Source organism: Homo sapiens, chromosome 5 (assembly GCF_000001405.40).
Source record: "Homo sapiens chromosome 5, GRCh38.p14 Primary Assembly".
In the NCBI taxonomy this organism is placed as follows: Eukaryota; Metazoa; Chordata; class Mammalia; order Primates; family Hominidae; genus Homo; species Homo sapiens.
Window position 1 is genome coordinate 60,742,287 of NC_000005.10, and position 27,784 is coordinate 60,770,070.

The window sequence follows — 27,784 nt, forward strand, 5'->3', positions numbered from 1 at the left end:
ATAACAAACTGACAGAAGAAAGTCCTTACTTATCAGTAATAACATTGACTGTAAAAGGAATAAACGTTCCAATTAAAAGACATAGAGTGGCTGAATAAATAAAAAAATAATGTCCAACGATCTGTTGCCCACAAGAAATACATTTTGCCTGTAATGACACACACAGACTGAAAATAAAGCGATGAGAAAAGATAATCCATGCAAAGGGAAACCAAAAAAGGGCAGGAGTAGCTATACTTATATCAGACAAAATAGATTTCAAGACAGAATCTATAAGAAGATACAAAGAAGGTCATTATAGAATGATAAAGGAGTCAATTCAGCAAAAGGATATCACAATTGTAAATATATGTGCACTCAACACTGGAGCACCCAGATGTATGAAGCAAATATTATGAGAGCTAAAGAAAGAGATAGACCCCAATACAATATTAGCTGGAGACTTCAACACTCCACTTTCAGGATTGGACAGATCTTCCAAACAGAAAATCAGTGAAGAAATGTTGAACTTAATCTGCCCTACAGAACAAAGGGACCTAATAGATATTTACAGAATATTTCATCCAACGGCTGCAAAATACACATTCTTTTCTTCATCACATGGATCGTTCTCAAGAATAGACCATATGTTATATTACAAAACGCATCTTAAAACATTCGGGAAAAATAACATCAAGCATCTTCTCTGACCACAAACTCACCATTCACCCGGCCCCTCCCATCCCTCCTGGTCCTGCACTCTTAAAGCCGAAACACTGGGCTCACCTTTCACATTTCCCTCAAGCTTAGGCCAGGGTGTTTCTTTCCTTTTCTCATCTGGAATTACCTGTTGGGCACACTCTTCTCCCTCATTTTCTGTCTGGCAAACATCCCCTTATTGTTCATGAGGCAGCTGATATTATCTCCCCTTTAAAGTCTCTGCTTAAGTCCTACCACAGCCCAGATAGAGCTATTTCTCCTTTCTGTCCCTTCATTGTACAGGCTAAAAACTTCTTCCTTCCTTTCTCTCTCTTTCTTTCTTTCTCTTTCTGCAGAGCTAGCTGAGGTTTTATTTTGGACCATAAAAAAAAAAAAGCAATTGAATTGTTTTGTAGCTGGAGACATGGGCATGGGGGATCCCCAGGCAGGAAACTCCCCTGAAGGTGGGCTGAGGGCTAGGGCTGAGCCTCAGGTGGGTCTCCCATTCCCTGTGCTCCCCTGCACAGCCGCCTCCCTCGCGTGCTCTGGGGCAGCCGCAGGACGGACAGGCTGGGAGGGGCTGCCGCCTCCGCTGTTCACTTGAGCAGGACGTCAGAGGACTCGGACACCAGCTTCCCATCGTGGGTCTCAATCTTCTTCACAATCATGGCCCTGATGGAGCAGGTGCGGCTGAAAGCGCAGGAGCCCGCACCAGAGCCAAAACTGGAGCCCAGGCCGTAGCTGAGGCCGGGGCTTGTGAGGCCCCCATAGGTCGAGCTCAGACCACCTGCATAGCCGCTGGTGGTCTTCGTACGGATACTCATGTTCTGCATCCCAGACTCCAGCCGGCTCTCCTCGCCCTCCAGCAGCTGTAGGTGGCGATCTCGATGTCCAGGGCAGCTTGACGTTCATCAGCTCCTGGTACTCACGCAGCTGCCGCCCATGTCCTGCTTGGTCCACTGCAGGGCGGCCTCCAGCTCAGACAGCTTGGCGTTGGCATCCTTATCGGCCAGCTCCCCACGCTACTCGGCATCTCTGATGGCGGCCTCCAGGGAAGCCCTCTGGCCTTTGAGGCCCTCAGTCTCAGCCTGGAGCCGGCTTATGTTCCAGTTCATCTGGGAGATCTCAGTCTTTGTATGCCGCAGGTCATCCCCGTGCTTCCCAGACAGCGTCTGGAGCTCCTCATACTTGATCTGGTACATGCTCTCAACCTCAGCCCAGCTGCGGTTGGCGATCTCCTAGTACTGCGCCTTGACCTCAGCGATGACACTATGTCCAGGGAGCGGCTGTTGTCCATGGACAGCACCACAGACGTGTCCGAGATCTGGGACTGCAGCTCCTGGATCTCCTCTTCATACAGCTGCCTGAGGAAGTTGATCTCCTCAGTCAGCCCTTCCAGAAGAGACTCCAGCTCTACCTTGTCATGTAAGCTTTATCCACATCCTTCTTGATGAGGAAAAATTCATTCTCCATCCCTGTACGCTTATTGATCTCATCCTCATACTTGTTCTTGAAGTCCTCCAGCAGCCCCTGCATGTTGCCAAGTTCCGCCTCCAGCTTCAGCTTCTCCTGGCCCAGAGTTTCCAGCTGCCACCTAAAGTTGTTCATTGATGTAGCTCTCAAACATGTTGTCCATGTTGCTCCGAGCCATCTTCTCCTGCTGCAGGAGGCTCCAGTTGGTCTCCAGCATCTTGTTCTGCTGCTCCAGGAACTGTACCTTGTCTATGAAGGAGGCAAACTTGTTGTTGAGTGTCTTGATCTGGTTCTTCTCCTGGGTGTGGTCTCCTGGATGCTGGAGTCCATCTCCAGTTAAGGGAGTTCAGCAGGCTCTGGTTGACCGTGACAGCGGTGATGCCTTCCATGCCACTGGCCCCATTAAAGCCTCTGCCCAGGCCACCCCGGAAGCTGCTGCTGCCCACTTAAGAGAAGCTCGAGGAGTTGATGCGGGCACCGGGCCCACATGGTGGACACCTTGTAGGACTTCTGGGTCATCCTGATGGACATGGTGGAGGCAGGAGTGGAGGCAGGTGGCCTGAACCAGGCAGAGATTCCAGAAGGAGAGGACAAGCTGCTTCTTGGTATTTATTTATTTATATTTTAAATTCAAGGGAACATGTGCAGGTTTGTTATACAGGTAAACTTGTGCCACGGGGGTGTGTTGCATAGACTGTTTCATCACTCAGGTATTAAGCCTAGACCCTTTCATTATTTTTCCTGATCCTCTCCCTTCTCCCAGACTTCAGCCTTAGACCCCAGTGTCTGTTGTTCCCTCTATATGTCCATGTGTTCTCATCATTTAGCTTTCACTTATAAGTGAGAACATATGTTGTTTGCTAAGGATAATAGCCTCCAGCTCCATCCAGGTTCCTGCAAAGGGCATGATCTTGTTCTTTGTTATGGCTGCATGTATTCCATGGCGTTATCTGTGCCACACTTTCCTTATTCAGTCTACCATTGGTGGGCATTTAGGTTGATTCCATGTCTTTACTACTGTGAATAGTGCTGGAGTGAACATACGTGTGCACGTGTCTTTATGATAGAATGATTTATATTTCTTTCAGTATATACCCTGTAAAGGGATTGCTGGATCAAATGGTAGTTCTGTTTTTAGCTCTTTGAGGAATCACCACATAGCTTTCTACAGTGGTTGAACTAATTTACACTCCCACCAACAGTGTATAAGCATTCTTTTTCTCTGCAACCTTGCCAGCATCTGTTTTATTTCTTGACTTTTTAATAATAGTCATCTGACTGGTGTGACATGAAATCTCACTGTGATTTTGATTTATATTTCTCTAATGATCAGTGATGTTGAGCTTTTTTTCATGTGCTTTCTGGCTTCATGTATGTCTTCTTCTGAAAAGTGTTCATGTCCTTTGCCCACTTTTTAATGTTTTTTTTCTTATAAATTTGTTTAAGTTCCTTATAGATGCTAGATATCAGACCTTTGTTAGATGCATAGTTTCTAAAAATTTTCTCTCATTCTATAAACTGTCTATTTATGTTCTTGATAGTTTCTTTTGCTGTACAGAAGCTCTTTAATTATATCCCATTTGTCAATTTTTGCTTTTGTTGCAATTGCGTTTGGCATCTTTGTCACGAAATCTTTGCCTGTTCCCATGTCCAGAATGGTATTACGTAGGTTGTCCTTCAGGGTTTTTATAGTTTGGGGGTATACATTTTAGTCTTTAGTCCATCGTATGTGGTATAAGGAAAAGGTCCAGTTTCTACTGTCTCTACTAAAAATACAAAAATTAGCCAGGTATGATGGCAGGTGTCTATAATCCCAGCTACTCAGGAGGCTAAGGCAGGAGAATTGCTTGTACCCGGAAGGCAGAGGTTGCTGTGAGCTGAGATTGCGCCTCTGTACTCCAGCCTGGATGACAGAGCGATACTCCGTCTCAAAACAAACAAACAAGCAAACAAACAAAAACTATTTGTTTAACAGCAGAATATCTGACTTGACTTGTTTGCATGTTTGTTGCCCTCTATCCAAGCGAAAATCTCTGTGGGGATTGGTATTATTTGACTTCATTTTTATATTCTAGCACAGCAGTTGGCATATAGTAGGAGTTTAACAAATTGTTGAATGATTGACTAAACCACTAAAGAGTGAGCAGAGGAAGAGAATTTATAACAATAGCACATACTTATTCAGTGCTTCGTTCATTCATTCATTCATTCAACAACAGTTATTGAACTCCCGTAATATGCCAGCCATTGTTCTAGGCACTTGCAGTGAACAAAATAGACAAAATCATCTACCCTTGAAGAGATTACTTTCTCATGAGGAAGACAGTCAATAAATAACATTAATAGTAACTAAATGCATTGTATAGCATGTTAGAAGGTAATAAGTGCTGTATAGGAAAAAGAAAGATGAGGGTGCAGGCTGCAGTACTGAAAAAGTGAGATTTGAACAAAGGAGGGAATTGAAGGGTTTAGCCAAGCAGTTATTTTGGGAACAGTCCCTTAGGCAGAGAAAAATAAATGAAGAACCCTAAGATGGAAATGCACTTACAATGGTCCAGTGACCAGCAAGGAGGCCAGTGTGGCTGGAGCAGAGGGAACAAAGTGGGGATTGGTAGGCGGTGAGGACAGAGAAGCAATGACAGGGTTTTTACGCTCAGTGAAACCAGAAACCACTGTAGGGTTCGGAATAAAAGAGTTACATGATCTGATTTATATTAAGAGATGACTTTGGCTGCTATTTGGACAAGAAGTTTTAGGGAAGCAAAGGCAGAAACAGAGAGTCACACAGGAAGCTATTCCAGGAATCCCGGCATGAGATGATAAGGGCCCAGGATTGGTCAGATTCTGGTTATACTTTGAGAGGAAGCCAGCAGGATTTCTTGTTGGATTTGGCGTTGAGTGAGACAGAAAGGACCTGAGGATGACTCTGAGGTTTTTAGCCTGAATAACTGGAAGGAAAGCACTGCTCTAAAAGTTTTCCCTGTTTTAACTCATCTAATATCCCACAATAACTGGATAAAGAAGTATTGTTTCCATTTTCAGTTGGGACACTAAGAGACAGAGAAGCTGTCCAGGTTATAGCGCTAGCAAGAAACAGAGTCAGGATTTGACCAGGCAGGCTGGTTCCAGAGCCTGTGCTCCCAACCAGTGCACCACGCTTCCTCTCCATGACAGCATCTAGTAGGATGAAAGGCTTTTTATACAGGGATAATATAATAATATTATAATCTAGGCAAATATTATTATAATATAATCTAGACTATATTATAATCTAGGATAATATTATAATCTAGGAAAAATTATTCGGGTCTGAACAAGGAGGGTTGCCACAAGAATAAAAAGAAAGGCATACTTTCATGGGCAAGATAACCCAAAATGGGCAAAAGACACACTGACCAGAATTTGTGCAACTTTTAAGATAGAAGGCACAAGAGGGCTCCTGTCCGTAATCCCAGTGCTTTGAGAGGCTGAAGTGGGAGAATCGTTTGACGCTAGGCGTTCAAGACCAGCCTGGGCTACATAACAAGATCTCGTCTCTACAAAAGATAAAAAAAATTATCCAGGCATGTTGCCACTCCGGAAGCTGAGGCAGGAAGATTGCTTGAGCCCAGTAGTGTGAGGTTACTGTGAGCTATGAAGGTGCCACTGTGCTCCAGCTGGGGCAACAGAGGAAGACCCATCTCTTATAAAAAAAATAAAAGGAACACAGTAGCTCCGAGTTTACATCTCCACATTCAAATACTCAGATGCTTATATCATTCTTATTTAAGTTGTAAGGACTATGTACAGAGTGTCCTTTTGTGTGGCCTGGGCACTTAGAGATACTTACCTCATATCAAGCTTTCTCCCTTTAGTAACCAGAGTACATCCCAAACTAATTGAATCCTGTAGGTCCTAGAATACAAACAAGGTGCAGCAATGTTTTAATAATGCTGTAGTTTGAATATAGGCAAAAATGTTCATATTTAGATTTGAAGAGTGTTATAGTTTGTAACTTTGTTGAGTTATAGGTACATGTGCAGCCTGACCTGATACTGGCTGTCAATAAAAAGTATGAACATGCCCAGCCAGTGCCAGGAAAGTAAGAGCCCTTTGGCCCTCTCTCTGGGGCAGCCTGGTATAAAAGACATGTTTTGTGTCCTGTTATATTGTGGTTGTATCTGCTAGAAACATCTGGAGGAATTTCTATCTCCACCCCGTCCCCAATCATCATGTATCTTATGCTGCCTGAAACAAAGAGAACCATAACCCTTGCTCTCATTTAATCTAGGGACCTACCTTAAACTCCACACTCAAATCTGAGTCTATTTCTCTGTGCAAGGGGCCACTTTCTTAGTGAAAAAATAAAACGGCACTTACTTTCACCTACAGAACTAGTCAATACAAACCAGAACTGTGTGAATTAAAGATAGGCTTTAACTCTTCTAAAGAGAAAAATAAGTATTCCTGTCTATTTTAGGTAATACTTTGTGTGGCAGACTGTATTTTCCAAGTACAATATTTCTCCCATCCTACATGTACTTACGAGGTAGCTTTTACACTCTTCCCATTGAGGGACATGGTCTGTGTCCTCTCCTCTTGAAAATGGGTGGGCTTTTGTACAGGTGAAGTGATATTCCCTGACTTCTATGGCTAGGTTATAAAAGGCAATACTGCTTCCATTTTGTTCACTGGAATGCTTACTCCTGAAGCCTTTGGTCTGACTTCCCTGAGACTGCCATGCTGTGAGGAAGCTCAAAGTAGCCCAAGGGGAAAGACCACACAGAGAGGACTTGAGACTACACAGAGATCTCCAGCCATCCCCCACTGCCTCAACCTCCTGGTTCCTGGTTAAGCCACAGTCTGACTGCAATTGCGCCAGGGACCCCAAACAATAACCACTCGGCTTCTCAAATCATTGATCCTTCAAAGTGGTAAGAGATGTAGCCTTGATGTAGCTGTAAGTCATCAAATTTAGGGGTGATTTGTTAGTCAATAATAGACAAACTGTAACAGCTTGAGAAACAACAATACTATTTATATAAAGATAACAAAGGCTATACAAATAGTATACTGATGGAAAAATATATGCTAAATATATACACTGAATTATAATATATAGACTATATATTTTAAATTATATTAGTGTATCAATCATTTTGAATGAATCTATTATATATAATACATTATATATAACTTATGTGTATATATATTCATCCAGAAGTAATGATTTAATCATTTGCTGATGCCAGGCACAGTGCTGGCCCTAAATAAGAGTGTTCAATCACTTTTCCATTTAGACACTTGAAGAATTATATGTACTTCTGTGCAAAATAATGGCCCATCATGGTGATGGATTCTCAGTGGGTGAGGTTACATCAGGTGCTTACTCAAACGTCATCTTACCTTCTTTCTTACTAATAGAATCTAATTTTGTTGGAGATGACAATGTGCCCATCTAGAAAATTAGTTCACAGCTTCTCCTGCAGCCAGAAATGGCCATGAGGCAGTTTTGACCATTGAGATGTAAGTGGAAGTTGTTGTGTGGGACTCCTGGGAAAGTCCTTTAGAAGGAAACAGACCTAGACTCTATTGTATTTGGTACCCAAGAAGGCATACAAAGACATCTTCTTCCCTGGTGGTATATGGTATATGCAGATTTTCTCTGTATCCCTGCCCTTCCCCAGAGTACTTAGCTACATGGCATGATGCTTTGGAATGACAGACAATAACTACAGTCTATTACACCCAACTGCTTCCTACAAGAAGGAAATACTGGAAAATGCTGGTGACAGGGAGCCTCGGGCTCCATGGAAGGGATTCTTTTCCAGAGGCTCTCATAACCAGGCTGATCATGTTACTCCTCCATCAAACATCTTCAGTGGGTCCTGGTGAACATTATATTTTGTTTCATCAAAGGTAACTACTTAATTTTAGGATAATATATATTGCAAATCTGTAATACACTTTTCACTTGTCAACAGGTATGCCACTTTTGTTTTTATTAAAATTTGATGTAGGCCTGTCTTTTTAAACTGTACTGTAAATTTTTTAAGGGCAGGGACCACATCCAGTACATTTTAAAGTTTCTCATGACACTTAGATGCAGTAAGCACCCTCAATACTGACTGACTACCAGTGAAAATCATGTCAATTCTGTCATTTTGGTTCCTAACTTAAATAACATCTATACAGAACATTATAATACATACATTGCTTTTTAAAAACTGGACAATTTCAAACATACACAAACGTAGACAGAAGAGTATAATAAACTCTTATTAAGTGAACCCATTACCCAACTTTAACAATTATCAACACCCCCTTTTCTTTTTACTAGAGTATGTTAAAACGAAATCAGACAACCTATCATTTTACATATACATACTTCAGTGTATGTATCTCACATATAAGGACTTTAAAATATATACATCTGCAATACAGTAATAATATCTAATATTAATAGTTTGTCTTTTAAAATTTAGTTCATGTTCAGTTATATCTGATTGTTATAAGAATGTCCTTTTATGATTTGGTTTGTTCAAATCAGGATTCAAATGACATTTGGTTAGTATATCTTAAGTCTTTCATCTACAAAAGTTGCCTTCTCTGGTTTTCTTTTTTTTTTTTTAATGTCATTTATTTATTGAAGAAACCAGGTCATTTGTTCTATGGAATTTCCTACATTTTGGACTTGGCTGATGGTATCCTTTTTGTGTCTTTTAACTCTTATATATTGTATTTCCTGTAACTAGTAGTTTAGATACAGAGGATTTATTAGATTCAAGTTCAAAAATTTTTTTGCCACGAATACCTCAGAGTATTATAGTGTATTATGAGACAAAACATCTGGTTGTCCCACTTTGAATGATATTAAGATTGATCACTGGGTTCAGTCATATCAGCACAAGCCATCCCCATCAACCTTTCATCTAATTGTTTTAGCAACCAGTGATCATTAGCTAGTCCCATTTATTAGAGACAGTGGGGATGGCAAAATATTCTTTTTTGTTAATTCTTTCCACTTAAAAAACCTTGCCTACTAACATACCACCAATTTTGAAATTCTGTACAACCTAAACACATAACTCAAATTCAAATTCCTTCATAGAGTCTTCCCTGTCTGCTAAGTGGCAGAACTGTCACTCATCTGGCACCTATCATCTACTGCCCTGTCACATAATTTCATCTGCCAGTTGGTAAGCTCCAGGAGATCCCAATTATGTTCTAAGTATCTTTGTATCCCAAAGATGAACACAGCACGTATACAAGAAATATGTAAAATAACTTTGATTGGTGAGTATTCAAATTAAAAGTCACCAACCCATGCAAATACATGCAGCTAGATTCCAAAATGAAAAATATACACACGTATACATGCAATACCACAAATTTATTATAATACACAGGGAAAAACAAACTCAAACTTTGACAACATCCACAGAATGTTCCAGTCTTTAAAAAGTTAGCAGAAATAAAGGGTAATGGAAAGAATATAATCTCGTAATTTTATACTTAAGGCTGTAAATGGCAAAGTCCCATAGATATTTAAAAATCTATATTTGTATTTATTTATAATATAGATATAGGCCCTCAAGGATTCATAGAGATTTATGTAATAAACTAGATTTTGGAACTATTTATTTTGTTGTTGTTGTTGCTTGTTAGGTAAGCAAACCCAAACAAATTAAGTCCTGAAAAGTGGGATGAAATCCCAAAGGAACTCTATGTGACCACACAGAACTCTTTTAATAAATATGGCCCATACAAATTCCATATCCAGTGAAAATCATTTTGATCCACAATCATGTTGATGTTTCTATGGAGGATACTTCTAGCAGCTGTGATTTCTTTTGTAGCATTCTGGCTCTCCACTTCTATTCATATAATTGAGTATGTGTTTTATTACATGTTAGCTTATAGGCAAGTTAAACATTTTAAAGACTACAGGGAGGTTAGGAGAGGTTGTATGATGAAGGTCGGAAAGTATGCAAGAAATAAACTCTCCTGTTTCATCTCTTTTATTTTTGCCTCATTTTGGTCTCTATACTACTTGGGTTCTTTGGAAATGGTGTGATTTCTAACAGCACCTAGCATACCTTCTCATTTTAGCACAGGTTAGATATGAAGAGCCAAACCTGGAAAACAGTTAAGGAGTCCTGAGACCTTTCCAGTGGAATAAATTAGAGCAGCAGTTTCATTTAGCTGTGCTCTTTTGTCCTTCATTCTTTATTTTCTAAAAATATAAAATTATGGCCGGGCACAGTGGCTCACCCCTGTAATCCCAGAACTTTGGGAGGCCGAGGTGGGAGGATCACCTGAGGTCAGGAGCTCGAGACCAGCCTGGCCAACCCTGTCTCTACTAAAAATACAAAAATTAGCTGAGCATGGTGGCGGGCACCTGTAATCCCAGCTACTTGGGAGGCTGAGACAGGAGAATCACTTGAACCTGGGAGGCAGAGGTTGCAGTGAACCGAGATTGTGCCATTGCACTCTAGCCTGGGCAACAAGAGTAAAACTCTGCTTCAGAAAAAAAAATAATAAATTATATATATATATGTAATTACTCCCATTTATCAACCTTTACCTTCTCATGCTGTAATCAAGTAAAATCACAAAAGATCACTTAAAGGCAAATAACCTTATGAATCTGGTAAGTGTAAACATAAAAATACTTACTGTACACAGAGTACAATAAGTATCTCTGTGTGTTCAAAATTAACTGGGGCTTTAAGTACTAATTGTTTAAAGTCCTACAAACATAAACAGTGCTTCAAAATTGAGTATAAATAAAAGAAGAAAAAAAATAGGGAAAAATTCACAAATGTCCAAATATTATTTCATGGACAAAACTCTACTGACTAATAGTTTTGATTCTCTGACAAGAAAATGTAAAAATAACAGAAAGAAACTAGCAATTTTAAAGAAACAAAGTGTATGCCAAACGAATTTCAGTCCTTCATTACATGGTTTATAGGTCTGGAAACAGAAATCCAGGTTGTTAATTAATTCATAATTCCAGAAAATGTTTTATTGTTCAGTGTATCTATAACATTAATTATATAATATATTACTATTATGTAGTCTGTCTGTCTCTCTCTCAAAGTAGAACAGCCCTTGCTTACATAATCAATTTTCCCCTGGATATTCTCTGTGCCACAATTTGCCTCTAGTTGCTTCACAGCCACTCTAACTCATATCTGGAAACTGTGTACAATGGGTAATATTATTTATGATTTAAGGGTAGTACCTGTAGTGTGCTAATAATATGAACATTTAAGTATCTAACCTATATATTTCACCAAGATAATAATTTAAACCATGACAATGTAAGAAAGTGATGTGATACTATAACAGACAACAGGTTTTTCCCACTGAACTACACAATACTTTTTTCATTGACAAATTCACCTCTTTCCAGAGATATACAAAGTTAATTGTAAAACAGTAATAGCAAAGTATTCATTAACCCATTAAAACAAATCACCTTGTTTTGAAAATAATCAACTGAATGAAACTTGGTATCAAGTGTACTAACCCAAAGGATTGCTACTTTGAAACAGTTTGTACAACAAATGGGTTGTGAGGAAGTCTTATCAGCAAAACTGGTGATGGCTACTGAAAAGATCCATTGAAAATTATCATTAATGATTTTAAATGACAAGTTATCAAAAACTCACTCAATTTTCACCTGTGCTAGCTTGCTAAAATGGGAGTTAACTCTAGAGCAAATATAGTATCTTCTGAATACAGTCAATAAATGACAAAGCCAGGGCCTACAGGTGGTTTCCAGACTTTCCAGACCCAGCAGAAGGAATCTATTTTATCACATGGATCTCCGTCTGTGCTCAAAATACCTAATGATATTTTTCATCTTTATTGGACTTCTTTGAAGAGTACTGTATTGCTTCATATCTTTTTTTCACTGCAACAAAATGTTTTAAACAAAACCTTTGGATTAGGTTTAAAAGCAGCTAAAAAAACAAAAACAAAAACAAAAACAAATTCTGGCTGCTGTAGGCTCTAATTATCAGAAGACTGTTATCTGGAAGCTTCGGGCTCTCAAATATCAGACATCCCAATAACTTACCATAAAAATACAAGCTCTTAGTTTTGAAAAATATACAAAATGCACTGCATAGGTAAATATCTCTTGATTGTCAAGGAAGACAATGTATCAGTTTCGATCATAGACTTATGTTGGGCTTCAATTATCTTTGTTTTTGCAAGTTCCATTTTTCACAGTTTTGGGCAACCTCTGACCTTTGGTGTAAGCACGGTACCAAAAATGGAGAAAGAGCAGCAGAAACATGAAACTGTAACTCATAATGATGCACGCAAAGACTGGAAACTGATACTTGCAATCCTCCATGAAAAAGAACTGGCTTATGTGGATGGCGACAATAACAAACTGGACCTAAGAAATGAAAACGTGAAAAAAAATTATTCAGATATGAAGAGTTAACAATTCTTTACCTACCTATGTTTATGCACTCCCAAAGTGCAGGGAGTGCACTATTGGGCAAAGAAGTCCATCTTTAAATCTAGCCTCCCTGAGAGTGATAATGGGTGGTATAATGTCAAAAGCCAGTTGGAAGTATGGATCCACTATTCAGAACCACAAAATTGCACAACCGCAGGGTCTATATTTAAATGTTCCCTGGAGCTGTGCAGTGCAGCAACCTTTTTACTACTCAGAGAATCAACAGAGCAGGTTTTCTCTAACAGTCTCTGACTTGAGTCCTTGACTATGATGAAATGACCATGCACTACATGTGGCCTATTTTTTCAGTATGATTTCAATTTCAAATATTCTGTCCTGTTATTGGACCAGATATTTTAATTTTTGGAAAATAATAACATTTTACTTAGAGCCCCTGGAATTTTTTAGTAGTTAAAGCATCTCGGAGTCCTTATACCTGCCACTTGTCCTCCACTGTCACAGATAAAAATGTGTCTAGGCCAGACACGGTGGCTCACGCCTGTAATCCCAGCACTTTGGGAGGCTGAGGCGGGTGGATCACGAGGTTAGGAGTTCGAGACCAGCCTGGTCAAGATAGCGAAACCCCATCTCTACTAAAAATACAAAAATTAGCCGGGCGCAGTGGTACGCGCCTGTAGTCCCAGCTACTCAGGAGGCTGAGGCAGGAGAATCGCTTGAACCTGGGAGGCGGAGGTTGCAGTGAGCCGAGATCGTGCCACTGCACTCTAGCCTGGGTGACAGAGCGAGATTCCATCTCAAAAAAAAAAAGTGTCTGAACTGCCAACTGAGGCAGAGAATCTACGAGGTGTGAGAGAGAACTGGTGGCCCTTCTAGTAGTGCTCAAGGGCTCTGTGGGGCAGAACATCTTACACAGTCCCAAGAGGGACCTTTTCTAGGCTAATATTCAGATTTTCTGGTTATCATGTTTTCCCTGATTAAAAAGCAATATGTGTTCTGTGGAAATCTTAGAAAAGTAAAACTCTATAAAGAAATAGACAACAATTACTCACAATCTGTCTAGTTAAAATCATGGTTAAGATTTTCATATAGTTTATTTTATTATCATTTTATCCTTGTCATCATCAACTTTCCTTGCATTATCTTAATGTATATTTATGACATTCCCACAACATAGCCACTTATTCCTCTCATTTTCCAAAAGAGAAAACAAAACTTTAGGAAGGCTAAACGATATCCTTAACATTCTATGCATGTGTATGTTTGTGTATAATAGACATATTTGAGAATATGATGAAAAAATGTCCATCCTATTCTTTCTACATCAGTATTTTTTCACGTTATTAAAAAGTTTGTACATTTAAGAGTATGCTGAGAAAAAAAAGCCTAAATACAAAATACAAAATTATATATGCAATACTATACAAAAAATGTAAAAGGTGTACACATATGCCTGAGAGAAAAACTGGATGAAAACCAAATAAAAATATCAGTGATTATCCCTGGGTGGCAGAATTCCATGTATTTTTTTCTCTTTGCTTAATTAGGTGTTCTCACGTATTTGCAATGAGCATATACTACTTTGAGAAAATAATATTTTTTAAAGAAGCAATGGTGAGTAATTTTCATGACTTCATAGTATTTCAAAGTATGAATTAAAATAATATATTTTACCATATCCTTATGATTGGTCATTTAGTTTGCTGCCAATTTCAAATACAACAAATAACTCTGCAAGGAAATACTCTGATCTTGATTTAGGATCCTTATCCATTAAAATATCAACCTCTCACCTGGAAGAACACATTATATGAATGTGCCAAATTTCATGTAGGAAGTTACAGGATTTTAATAAAAAATTAATCTTCACCACGCCATCTAAACCAAATTCATACTTTCTCATTGGTGTTACTGGCAGAATATGACATCAATTTATTATAGACTGCAAATGTGGAAATGCAAGGGTGGCAGATTTCTCCTTTTAATAGACACCAATAAAATGTAAAGCAAATCATCATCTCAAACCCATAATGAGTCTCCAAAAAAATTAAATATCATATATTTTGAGAATTAATGCTTAGAATGCATTATTAGGTCTAAACTGAGTGCCTCTGGCTCTTTCAAACATTGCTTATATAAGGGCAGTATTCAAATTTAGGTAATACATATATGTTGGTCTAACCCTCTACGTTTTTAATTCTCACAGTGCTTTTTATTGACTGGAGGGAAGATGGACTTATAAATGTTGGGACTATATAGGTAAGCACACAGGAAGGCTCATCGTTCCCTCAAAGTTGCATTCCCTCAAGGTCATTTAGATCTAACGGAATTTCTAATTTCTAATAGGTATTATGCCTATTGAGGGTCACATAACGTTGGAGTTATCTTAATCACAAATGTATTTATTCTTGTATAAATGCATAATATAAAGATGGCACAAAAATACACATGCTTGTTTAACTGTCTGAGCCTCTTGGTTACCAAAGTTCATCTAACATATTAAGAACCATGATGGCATATCATGTAGGGGCCAGACGCTCTACCCCTATTGTTTTGTCTTTCTTCTTTATTTAACCAGTATCCTAATTCACAGTGAAAACAAGTGACTCTAGCTGCTTCATATATGGTTTTAAAGACAATTAATTACTCACAAGCTGTAATGATGTCAAATATTTTTTCCACCACAAATACTTCTGGTAGGCTGGCCCCAATGCAGAAAGTCCATAGTAGGAATACATGACTACATGTACAGCTGTATTTAGAAGGGCATGGAATGTTCCCAAACCACCTGGAAAATAAAATTATTGTAACATGGGGCCATTGTTCCTTAAAATGAACCACATTTTCATCTGAACTGAGATTTTTGTATAATTATTTCTTGCATTTTGGAAAAAAATATATAAAATATCAATCCTGTTAAACAACTATCAAATTAGAGGGGGCTGGATAGTATATTTAGTAAAATATAAGATATGAACCTGAGAAAGTAAATTAGCGTATCTTTATTTTGTTATATCTTAGCTTAAGGTGGTCTTATGATTTGAATTTACTTACACTTAGTTGAGTTACCTTTTAAATATAATATGTTGCTAAATAATAGTAATAATGTTCATATTGTAGTGAGGTTTAACATATAAAAAGTATACAAAGTACATTAATCTTAACTTGATGATTTTTCATGTATGTATACACCCATGTCACTACCAAGATCAAGATACAGAACATTTCCAACACCACATAAGATTCCCATGTGCTCCTTCCAAGAATATACCCCTCCCAAGGTAGCTTTACTCTAACTTCTTATTACCAACTATTACTTTTGTCTGCTATTAAACTTCACATAAATGGAATTACACAGGATGTACTCTTTTGTACCTGGTACATATATTGGTAGTTTGTGTTTTTACTACTGTGTTTATACCATATAAACGCATCACTAATTACCCATTCTCCTATTGACAGACATGTGGGTTGCTTCCAATTTGGGCTATTCTGAATAAAGCTGCTAAGAATATTTTTTTATATGTCATTGTGTGCAATCAAATTTACTTTTCCTACTCTCAATAATCTTCATTAAATAATTTTGGCAGTAAAACCACTGGCTTTCACTAGCAAACTGCTGAATTTAATTAATTATTGTTTTCCCAAAGTAAATATCTACTAACTGTGAAACCATCCTTATTTACGGCTTCCAATTGATTATGCCTTCCTATTTTGGTTTTCTTCTTCTCATTTCGCCACATTTCCTACCCATCACCTTCAATTGAGAATAGAAGCAAAGAACACGTGGGAATGTAAGAAAAAATCATTTCAATTGTCTTTAGCTGGACCAGTAATACAGCAGAAGGGGAAACGGTGTTTAGCTGATAGTGTGGCGGGAGGAACACTCTCCCTGGGGTCCGTTTCCTAAGACGACAATCTGGAAGAATATGTGTTCTTTATGTATAGCCTGACTCAGCTTAGTAATGTTGACCTGGAATTTACATTTTTCTCTAAAACATTCTATTTTCTTAATTCCAGTATTCTTTAATTCTAGAAATAAAGCAAACCCTCATCAATTTAGATTATGGTAGGAGAAGAACTGAATTCATAAACACTATGAATTACAGAAAGTTTAAAGGAAAATACAAATTCATCACTTCTAATATGATCTGGAGAAAATCTAACAAAACTGTTACACAGTAGAAATTGCTTTTAAATAATTATTCCTAATTGCAGCAATTCTAGATATTTCTAGATACTAGCACTGCTGAAGTACTCTGTTAAAATAACCTGTTTTAAATAATTACTTTTAAGCAGTTAAGTATTCTCCCAAAGCCTCATTTATGCTATACTGTTCTACATAAACTTTCTCCTCCTGACAAGAGAAAGCCATATTTTAGCTAATCCCTCAATTACCATAAATTTCAAGTCAGAAGGAACTGAATTAATTAAGCGTATTAACAACTTTCCAGCTTGTATTATTTATATTTGGAATGGTCTTCTTTCCCAAAGGAAATTTGAATAAACACATTATTGTGGTATAAGAACACCTTTTCTAGGTTAATTTAAAAATAGAATAGTTGTCTACTTCTGATAGTTGAGGAGTCAAGGTGCTTAAAAGGAGGATAAGCCAAATACCTCTCAAATTCATTTGTGTTTCATAATAATATACACATAGGACATCTATTTCACCTTTGATATGGAACTATGTCAGAGCTTTTCTAACTAAGACACCTCTCCTGTTATTTAATAGAGGCGTGCCTATTTTCTTTTTTTTTTTAATTTGTCTAAAGTTTTTTTTATTTATTATTATTATACTTTAAGTTTTAGGGTACATGTGCACAATGTGCAGGTTAGTTACATATGTATACATGTGCCACGCTGGTGTGCTGCACCCATTAACTTGTCATTTAGCATTAGGTATATCTCCTAATGCTATCCCTCTCCCGTCCCCCAACCCCACAGCAGTCCCCAGAGTGTGATGTTCCCCCTCCTGTGTCCATGTGTTCTCATTGTTCAATTCCCACCTATGAGTGAGAATATGAGGTGTTTGGTTTTTTGTTCTTGCAATAGTTTACTGAGAATGATGATTTCCAATTTCATCCATGTCCCTACAAAGGACATGAACTCATCAATTTTTATGGCTGCATAGTATTCCATGGTATATATGTGCCACATTTTCCTAATCCAGTCTATCATTGTTGGACATTTGGGTTGGTTCCAAGTCTTTGTTATTGTGAATAGTGCCGCAATAAACATACGTGTGCATGTGTCTTTATAGCAGCATGATTTATAGTCCTTTGGGTACATACCCAGTAATGGGATGGCTGGGTCAAATGGTATTTCTAGTTCTAGATCCCTGAGGAATCGCCACACTGACTTCCACAGTGGTTGAACTAGTTTACAGTCCCACCAACAGTGTGAAAGTGTTCCTATTTCTTCGCATCCTCTCCAGCACCTGTTGTTTCCTGACCTTTTAATGATTGCCATTCTAACTGGTGTGAGACAGTATCTCATTGTGGTTTTGATTTGCATTTCTCTGATGGCTAGTGATGGTGAGCATTTTTTCATGTGTTTTTTGGCTGCATAAATGTCTTCTTTTGAGAAGTGTCTGTTCATGTCCTTCGCCCACTTTTTGATGGGGTTGTTTGTTTTCTTCTTGTAAATTTGTTTGAGTTCATTGTAGATTCTGGATATTAGCCCTTTGTCAGATGGGTAGGTTGTGAATATTTTCTCCCATTTTGTAGGTCGCCTGTTCACTCTGATGGTAGTTTCTTTTGCTGTGCAGAAGCTCTTTAGTTTAATTACATCCCATTTGTCAATTTTGGCTTTTGTTGCCATTGCTTTTGGTGTTGTAGACATGAAGTCCTTGCCCATGCCTATGTCCTGAATGGTAATGCTTAGGTTTTCTTCTAGGGTTTTCATGGTTTTAGATCTAATGTTTAAGTCTTTAATCCATCTTGAATTAATTTTTGTATCAGGTGTAAGGAAGGGATCCAGTTTCAGGAGTGCCTATTTTCTATTTGGATATTTTCACCATTAAATATCCTAAAATGAGGATCTTAGACACAGGGATTTAACAAAGCACTAGTGTAGCCAAGAGTGTTTAGTAAGGTTTACTGATCAAAATAAGCTATCAAATAAAAGTAACATGTTTACTTTCTCTAGTTATGATTATTTTCTGACAAGCTATTTTAATATTTACAAAACAACCATATTTTAATTAATAATGTTTTTTGTATCTTCTTTGGAAGGCTTTCCTAACAAAATATTTTCTAAGCCTGTTTTCTTCTTTATGATAATGGGTCTGTAAACAGACATCTCAGAATGAATTACGATTAGTACCATCACATTTTACTCCTTTGGAAAAAACAAAGGAATCACCTGGGTAATTATCACAATTCTCCATATCTCTGGAAGGGGATATATGCACAATTAATGTAAAAACCTACCACAGAAATATCTTCATCCTATTCAAAAGAATAGCTGGATTGCTATTACCCCATTGAGGAGTACAACAGAAAAATAGGAAATTAAATACTAGATAGAGATCAGCTGTGCTCAAGTTTTTGCAAAAATCAGTTTGGAATGGACAGTTTCATTCTAGGAATGGACCTCAGCGCCAAACAACATTTCTGGGAACAGCTTTTGTTGCTGTGCTTGTCACTGAAATAGGTATCAGGTCTGCTGAATAAACCTCTATTATTTACTCTATCAAAGTAACTCTTTTATCAGACATATTTCTTAGGTTTGGGGGGAATATTGGAGATTGTGACGGGTATTGAAATATACCATATGAAAAATGCCAGTGTGAGTGGCAGACAGTTTTTTCATAAAAGGTATATAAGCTGATCGTAGCAGAATTGGGGGTATGCTGTTTGAATTCATAAAAATAGGGAGGTTAGGAGGACAGTTTTAATAGTAAAATATATCGTATAGAGTTCTGGTGAATAAATAGTGCATAGTGCTCCTAGAAAAATTGTAGCAGTTAGGGCATTTATTATAATAATGTTTATATACTCAGCTATAAAGAAGAGGGCAAATGGGCCTGCGGCATATTCGATATTGAAGCCTGAGACTAATTCTGATTCTCCTTCTGTAAGATCGAAGGGGGCTCGGTTAGTTTCTGCTAGTGTGGAGATAAATCATATTATGGCTAGGGGTCATGATGGTAGGAGTAGTCAGTGTTTACTAGAATTCCACATGTAAGACTGAACAGAAGTGCCAATGCATGGAACATATGAGAGAGAAGAAAACTATCTTCTACTATTCTCATTTTGTAAAGAAGAAGAAGGATTAAGGTGTGGACAAGAAACCCGTTATAAAGTGACTGATGTCCATAAACATAGTACCACTTAAAAACTGAGGTATGTCGCTTGAACCTGGGAAGCGGAGGTTGCAGTGAGCCGAGATCACACCACTGCACTCCACCCTGGACAACAAGAGTGAAACTCTGCCTCAAAAAAAAAAAAAAAAAAAAAAAATTGAAGTATATCATATTTAAATTCTCATTATTGAAAGCACTGCTTGCTTTTGAAATGGAAACTACACTATCAATGAACTCAAACATAGAAGTTAGAAAAATGCTCAATTGTATTCATTAAATAAAATTTATTTCTCCCATTCTTGAACTGTCAGATATTCAATATTTAAAAATTAGAAAATATAGAGAAAGGGACGGAAATAAAGAGGGAGAAAAAAACCACTTTTTGTTTCAATATCTCCAAACCACCTCTGTTTATATTTTGGGATATTGCCTTCCAATCTTTCTTCTATTCACATTTAGTTTTCAGTGTGTATCCTGGCCTCATGGGAGAAATCAGAATAAATAAATTATAAGGATGTGAAAGCACCTTTTCTAGCATACTTTAAAAATAGAATAGTCATCTATTTCTGATAATTTAGGAGTCAAGACGCTTAACAAAGAAGATGAGCTTTGTTAAATCTTTGTGTATAGGATCCTCATTTTAGGACATTTAATACATCTGAATATCATTTTTGTTTCACAGTCATATAGACACAAGTAATAATAACCACTCTATTAGTGAGTGTTTAGGTATTTTCCAGTTTTTCACAAACACCAATAAGTGTCAATGTATATCACTGTAGAAAGAATGGGAAGGGACAATATGCATATAAGGGGAAATAGAAACACAGAAAGTAAGGATAAGTAAAATAATGGAGATTAATACAGTTACTGTTGATTTGACAAATGGACACCACTGAGACTATCTTGTTTTAATGTAAATGAAAGGTTTATACTAACAAACCTCATAAGAAAAAGCAGCTACATTTACTTAAAAACATTCTTCAGTAATAAATGCCAATTCTGAGTAAGGAGGTACTTTACATCCTGGAAAATCCGATGCCCATAAGCCATGGTAGCGACAGCTGTTTACTCATGATTCACAGCCCCTGTGGCTCCTCTGAGTTCTGGCATCCCCTTCCTGACACGGGCTTATCCATGTCCTCCCATGCTCTGAGACATGTAGATATTTTTCCTCCATGTTTAGAGAGTCTAGAACTCAAACAAGAGTTCCTCAATTGTGGTTCCCCCTTTCTTTTAGTCTAGCAGAGTTAGAAAGGCCAATAGAGGCAAGCTATTCACAGAAATGTTATCAGCTATAGGTCTATTTGAAGACTTTTAAAATTTAAGAAACTGGAACAAATAAATCCCCCAACCAAATTTTCCTAAGGTAAGAATATATCCTTGGGGATATCACCTATTTAAAACTGTATAATAGGATAAAATTATTTCTGGTTTCTCCAATGCTTGATGTTCAGAAGCCTAAAACAAAAAAGAAACGACCTGTTTTCCAAACTTTCCATTTAAACTATTTTGGACCTTAAAAACAGTATCAACACATTCTTTAATATGGTAGGATGCTTTAGGAAGTTGGGGTAACCACAATTTGACACATCTTTAAAGAGCTATTAGGGGTTAGAGTGTGTGTCAGCTATTAGAAATTTGAAGGCAAATAAGACATAGAATTTGAGATAAGCATTCTAACTTCCTGGGAGCATACAGGAAATTGTTCTCTATACTCCTATAAAGCCAAAGTTTTTACCATTTGATTTATTTATTATTTATTTATTTAAAGATATTTAATAAACCTCTCTGGGAAAAGAATAAAATACAAACAAAACAACTAAAGAATATGTGTAGAAGGCTGTGCCCAGAAGTTATGTATATCTAAAGAGTGGGGTAAACCTAGTTATTATGAGTCTTATGTTTATTTTTCAAGTAATAATTAATGAAATAAGTATAAACAAAGTGACTCTTTGATTTTTTTGAGTTTCTTATAAATCACATTTTAGAAAAATATTTTGTTTTTAGCATATAGAAATGTTGTTTATAACACATGATCCCAAATTTCCCTTGTCTACCTGCAGCAAATTTGACTCCAAACCACCAGGTCCACGGCATGATGGTATGATGGAATACATGAAGGAAAGTCACTTGGCTATTTTTCTTGCGCAGAACAAAAAAGATCTGAAATAATTTAAAGAATATCAAGTTCACAGAAAATCATTTGATAGTGTATTGAGTATTATAAAAAATATTGGCAAAGTGCAAAGTATTTCATATCATAATTTCCTCTAAAAGTGTTGCCTTATAGAATGCTTACAGAAGCAGCTAATTCCCCAAGGGGCAGCTCAAATCTAATTATTATGAAGTAACTTAGGTACGACGCCTATACATGGAAACACCAATAAAAAGGCAAAAAGAAACTTTATGTAGATTTAAAAATCAAAGATATAAAGTAAGGAATATGGCCAAAATTATTGAAAGAAATTGTATTGATAAAAAAAAATTCCCCTGGATTTTGAAGTGTATGGGAAAGCAGAAGACTTATGATTGAAATATTCTACATTGCTTTCTAATACATCTTACTGATATGGATAAGGGATTAGGCAAACGAAGAGGACTTGCAACAAATCAAAAGTTAGGAAATTATTATTAAAGAAAAATGAAGGGAGAAAAAGTTGAAAAGTTAATTTGAGAAATATGAGGGAAAAGAAAGCAAAACTGCATAGAAAAAAAATGAGAAGGCGAAGGAAGGTAACACTCAGAGTGAACGTTATCCAGTGGTTTGTAAAAACCCTGTCAACAAAATGGTAGAATTTGGGAGAGGGGGAAATTTTCAAAAAATATTCCAAAGTGAAATTAAGAATACGAGTGTTAAGATTTTTAAATACAAGACTAAACAGAATAGCACAAAGAAAAGTATTAAGAGTATTTGAGCAATGTAGTTTAGGGAAGGACACAGAAGCAGTGCAGTTTCCTTACGGAAGCTGGAACTGAGAACATGCAAAGCAACTGAGAATATGGAAATTTTGCACATTTCCAAGTGCAAAATGCGTTTGCTTACGCACATGGAAGAAGGCTGAGTGGTGCAACAGAAAAAGCCATACACTAACACTCTGGGTCCTAGTCCCACTTAGTAGCAGCATTCCTCTGGGTAAGTCATTTAACTCCTTGGCTTCAATTTCTCAGAGTGAAGGTTCTGGACTAATGCTTCTCAACCCTGGATGCATATTACAATATCCAAGAAGCTTTTTAAAAATAGCTATGCTTGGTCTCTGTTCCAGACCATATGGCACCAAATCTCTGGAGGTAGGGCTTGTTTTTGTCGTCGTTGTTTTCCCTAATGCAATTAATTCTATTGCACAATGTGGGCTGGAACCACCAGAATACAGGCTCTCAAAACATGGTCCCTGGACCAATAAGTATTAGCATCATCTGAGAACTTGTTAGAAATGCAAATTTTGAGCCCCATCCAAGGCCTAGTGAATCAGAAACTCTGGGGGTGGGGGTCGAGGCAGCTGTGTTTTAACAAGTCTCAGGTGATTCTAAATGCATGTTAAAGTTCGAGAACCACTGGATTGTATGTTCACACAAGTCCTTTCCAATTCTAACATTATGTGATTAGTCATTTCAAAAGGTGAAGCATATTGAGATTTCCTACAAGAAATATCATGGTATGCATTCCAAAGAAAACACACTTTTCAGTCTGAGCCAAAACTAGCTCCAAATAACTAAGATACACTTGCTGCAAAGATACAACAAATATTCAGCTTTCCTAAGCTCCTCTGGAAACAAAGGTTCATGGCTTTCTCCTCTAAATCACAGACGCTAATTTGTGACACGTGCTTCTCCCAAGACCCGGTCATCCAAGTTCAGAGGCGATCCTCACTAGGATCTGAAGTAGGAAGAGATAGGGCCCAGTAAGCACAGACTTCAGAAAAGCAGCTGAATTACCGACAGCCCAGGGGTAATGCAACATTCTCGTGAAAGTTTATTCATCCTCCTAAAGGAATATGGATGACTGTGCTTTGGGATAAAAAAACAAACAAACAAAGGTAAGATGTTTTCTGCTTTTTACTTCCTGAACTTGATTCATAAAACAACTGTCATCCATCTATATAAAGATGCAGTTTTGGAGTATATGACACAGTCACCATGCTTATCATAATCAACTGATAGCTATGTAACAGAAACTTTATAGAGTTTGCAAAATACTGAAAAAATAAGGTTATCCTATCTATTCTCTAAAGTTACTGATAATAAAAGGTAAAAAAGATAACAGTAGGTCTGCCTGAATAGGAGAAATAACCAAAGTTATCAGACAACTGAAACTACAGCAGTTTATTGGTTTCACTGAAAGATCAAACATTTAAGATCAAACATTTAAGATCAAACATTTACCAAATGTGGTGGCCATATACTCACCGTATCTAATAGCTCAATAAATTTGGAGAAGTAATAAAGCCAGCAGGTACGTGCCATCTGCAGAAGCACAAATAAATCTAAATTTATTTTGTATATGGAAGAAAAGCTTATATTTTTAAATTTTGGTAAAATATGCATACCATAAAATCTGTCATGTCAACCATTTCTTAGTGCACAGTTAAGTGGCATTAAGTACCTTCACACTGTTGTTCAACCATTACCACCATCCATCCATAGAACTTTTTTCATCTTGCAAAATTGAAGCTACACCCACTAAACTACATCCCATTCTCCCTCTCTAACCCCAGCTACAATTCTGCTTTCTGTGTCTATGAATTTGACTATGCTAGGCACCTCATATAAGCCAAATCATGCAGTATATGTCCTTTTGTGACCTAATTATTTCACTTAGCATAGTGTTCTCAGGGTTCATCCCTGTTGTAGCATGAGTTAGAATTCCCTTCCTTTTAAAGGCTGAATCATATTCCATTCTATACATATGCCACATTTTGTTTATCCATTTATCTTTTTCTTTTTTTGAGATGGAGTCTCACTCTGTCATCTAGGTTGGAGTGCAATGGTGCAATCTCGGTTCACTGCAACCTCCACCTTCTGGGTTCAAGCGATTTTCCTGCCTCACCCTCCCGAGTAGCTGGGACTACAGGCCCATGCTGCCATGCCCTGCTAAGTTTTGTATTTTAGTAGAGATGGGGTTTCACCGTGTTGCCCGGGCTGGTCTCAAACTCCTGAGCCCAGGCAATCCACCCGCCTCAGCCTCCCAAAGCGCTAGGATTACAAGCGTAAGCCACTGCACCTGGCCTTGTTTATCCATTTATCTATCCATGGACTCTTGGGTTGCTTCTACCTTTTGGCTGTTATAAATAATGCTGCTGTAAACATGAGTATACAAACATCTCTTCAAGTCTCTGTTTTCAATTCTTTTAGGTATATACCCAGAAGCAGAATTGCTGGATCTTATGGTAATTCTATTTTCAATTTTTTGAGGAACCACATGTGAATTTATTTTTAAATCCAAGAAATTAAAAAAGAAAAGCACCAATTTTCATTTTATAGAAAATTATACATGTGATTTTTTTTATTCTTGTAATTGTTCACTTTCTCCACCACAACACACACAATCTGATAACTGAGTCATCTGCTTATTCTAAGTTTACGTTCAGTGTTACAAACAGTTCACAAAATTTTAACATTGATTTTGAATTTCAAGTTTTTCCAAAGAGAAACTTACCCTCAAAGCTGTGGGTGACCGTGAATAGTCAACAATGTCACATCGAAATGAATAACCTATACCCCAGCCAGACATCACAAACTGCAAGAGAGCACATGCATATTAAGAAAGGAAAGCATTTTCCCAACAGCCACAACAAAGGTAGTTTTGATAGTGTCTCTTCATTACATTTTCAGCTAAGTCAATAGTCAGTGCAGAGGAAAAGGTAGCTGGAACAAATACAAAATGAACATGCTTGATATCAAAGCTTGATATCAAGAATTTTCAAAACCACAAACTCATATATTATTTATATAAACTGTGCTCTGACTAAAATGCTCATCTCTTGGGATGATTATTCTAATATGGTGAAGAATAAAACACTTGGAGTGTTTTGCTTAAACAGCAAATACTGGTAGGTGACTTATCTTAGGTTCATCTATGTATGTGTGAGTGAATGTGTTTGTGTACTCTTAAAGGGAACACTTGGATCTGAATCAGTCATTTCTAGCAATTTCCAGTCTTTCTACTTAGTCAATAACTAAACATGCAAACCAAAATGCCTCAATGTACTCATAAGATAGCTGCGACAACTGGGCTTTTCCCATCATTGGCTGGTGAGTGTGATGTGAGGTGGTAGTCCATGGCTCAGATATTATTAATAGTTTTACTGTGGATTCACAAGACAAGTAAAAGAGGAAAATGCTCGTTAACAATAAAAGTGCAATCTGGCAGGCCTTAATTCCAACACACCCACAAAGTGATCCAAGGCTGATGTGACAAGAAAGAGCCTATTGTTGATAAATCTGAAGTGTAATTCAAAGATTATAAAGATTATACTGACATTCTTTCAGTCTGATGGTGGGAAGGTCTTCTTTTAAAACAGTATCTGAAAAGGAAAAGCCAAGGGCTCTGATTTTAACTTAACACATATATGAAATTGTTGGCTTAATTTAGGGCACTGACAATATGATCAGTTCTTCTCATACATGCCAAATACCCCCTGGGAGATCTTCTCTCTCAGTATAATGGTTATATCCTTTTCTGCCATTGAACCATATTTTAAATTTCTAGTTTTAATTACTATTAAAGCTAAAATTAGAACTTTACAATTAATTAAATTCTAAAAACAAAAGCTTATGAGGCATTGTCAGAATAATATTCTGATTGTGTAAAGAAAAGAAACAAAGGAGAAGAACAATTATTAGACACTATAGTATTATAAAATGCAACATTCTTTTCTGAGACTAGCCTCTAGCTTGACTTATAAGATAACTTAATCACACTGTTAACTTGGTAAGTTATAAAATCTTGAAAATTAAGACTCAGAAAAGCACAAGATATTTCACGAATGAGAAAAATAGTTAACAACAACAAATCAATAGATTTTGCCAAATGAATAAGGGCACGTGACATAGAAATGGCTAATTCTGTTTTATAAAATCCTACTGTCAGTGAGTGTCCTCATATTCTCTTGTGCTCAGACTCATTTTTGACTAATGTAACGCTCTGTGGCCAGGAGCTATTTACTGGAATTGTGATGAATAATTCTCCACCTTACCCTACCCCAAACAAGCACTGTGTCGAATGAAAGTTGTGAGACTTGGCCTTCTGTTGGGTCTTAAGTGGTCTCTGCTAGTGTCTGACTGCTGCCAAGTAACTAGCACTTTCAAACAATCACTACACAAGAAGGCATCTGAGTTTCTTGAGTCTGATGTCCTTCCCTTTCAACTTCTTCAGATTTGGCCTAACATCATTGGTAGAGGTGTTTGCTTTGTAAACCAAATGAAATCATACTCCATACAATAAACCATGTGTTCGGATGTGCCATCAACAGATGGATGGCATGCTGTGTGGCTATCAAAAGCCTTTGTTTAAATAGAGTAGAAAGTTTAAGAACATTCCAACAGCTTGTGGAACTTTTTACATATATGTCTATATTCCAGGCTAGTAATAAGAAAAATTAGGCCAGGCCCAGTGGGTCACACCTGTAATCCTAGCACTTTGGGAGGCTCAGGCAGGTGGATCACTAGAGTCTAGGAGTTTGAGAGCAGTCTGGGAAACATGGCAAAACACCATCTCTACAAAAAATACAAAAAATTAGCTAGACATAGTGGCGCATGCCTGTAGTCTCAGCTACTTGGGAGGCTGAGGTGGGAGGATCACTTGAGCCTGGGAGGTCAAGGCTGCAGTGAGCCAAGATCGTGCCACTGCACTCCAGCTTGGGTGACAGAGCGAGACCCTTTCTGGTGAAAAAAAAAAAAAAAAG

The 27,784-nt window shown here is 37.5% G+C and overlaps 1 protein-coding gene and 1 pseudogene across 8 annotated transcripts in view, besides 1 other annotated feature; both read right to left on the bottom strand.

The window, feature by feature from the left end:
- On the bottom strand, window positions 1,031-2,758 carry KRT8P31 (keratin 8 pseudogene 31; annotated as a pseudogene).
- The window catches only part of ELOVL7 (ELOVL fatty acid elongase 7), a 92,479-nt gene continuing 74,199 nt past the window's right edge, over window positions 9,505-27,784 (bottom strand). For all 8 annotated transcript variants that reach the window (NM_001104558.2, NM_001297618.2, NM_024930.3 and 5 more), the window contains 5 exons: window positions 25,537-25,617; window positions 24,288-24,344; window positions 21,941-22,046; window positions 15,223-15,359; window positions 9,505-12,547 (listed from right to left, as the gene is read on the bottom strand). In NM_001104558.2, the coding sequence (NP_001098028.1) occupies window positions 12,338-12,547; window positions 15,223-15,359; window positions 21,941-22,046; window positions 24,288-24,344; window positions 25,537-25,617 (591 nt within the window). In that variant the 3' untranslated portion in view covers window positions 9,505-12,337. The remainder of the gene's footprint in view (window positions 12,548-15,222; window positions 15,360-21,940; window positions 22,047-24,287; window positions 24,345-25,536; window positions 25,618-27,784) is intronic.
- Window positions 27,108-27,609: an enhancer, noted in NCBI's record as "NANOG hESC enhancer chr5:60065221-60065722 (GRCh37/hg19 assembly coordinates)". NCBI's record gives its function as "activates a minimal SCP1, AML or CMV promoter by ChIP-STARR-seq in primed H9 embryonic stem cells {active_cell/tissue: H9 hESC(primed)}" and the evidence as "EXISTENCE:reporter gene assay evidence [ECO:0000049][PMID:30033119]".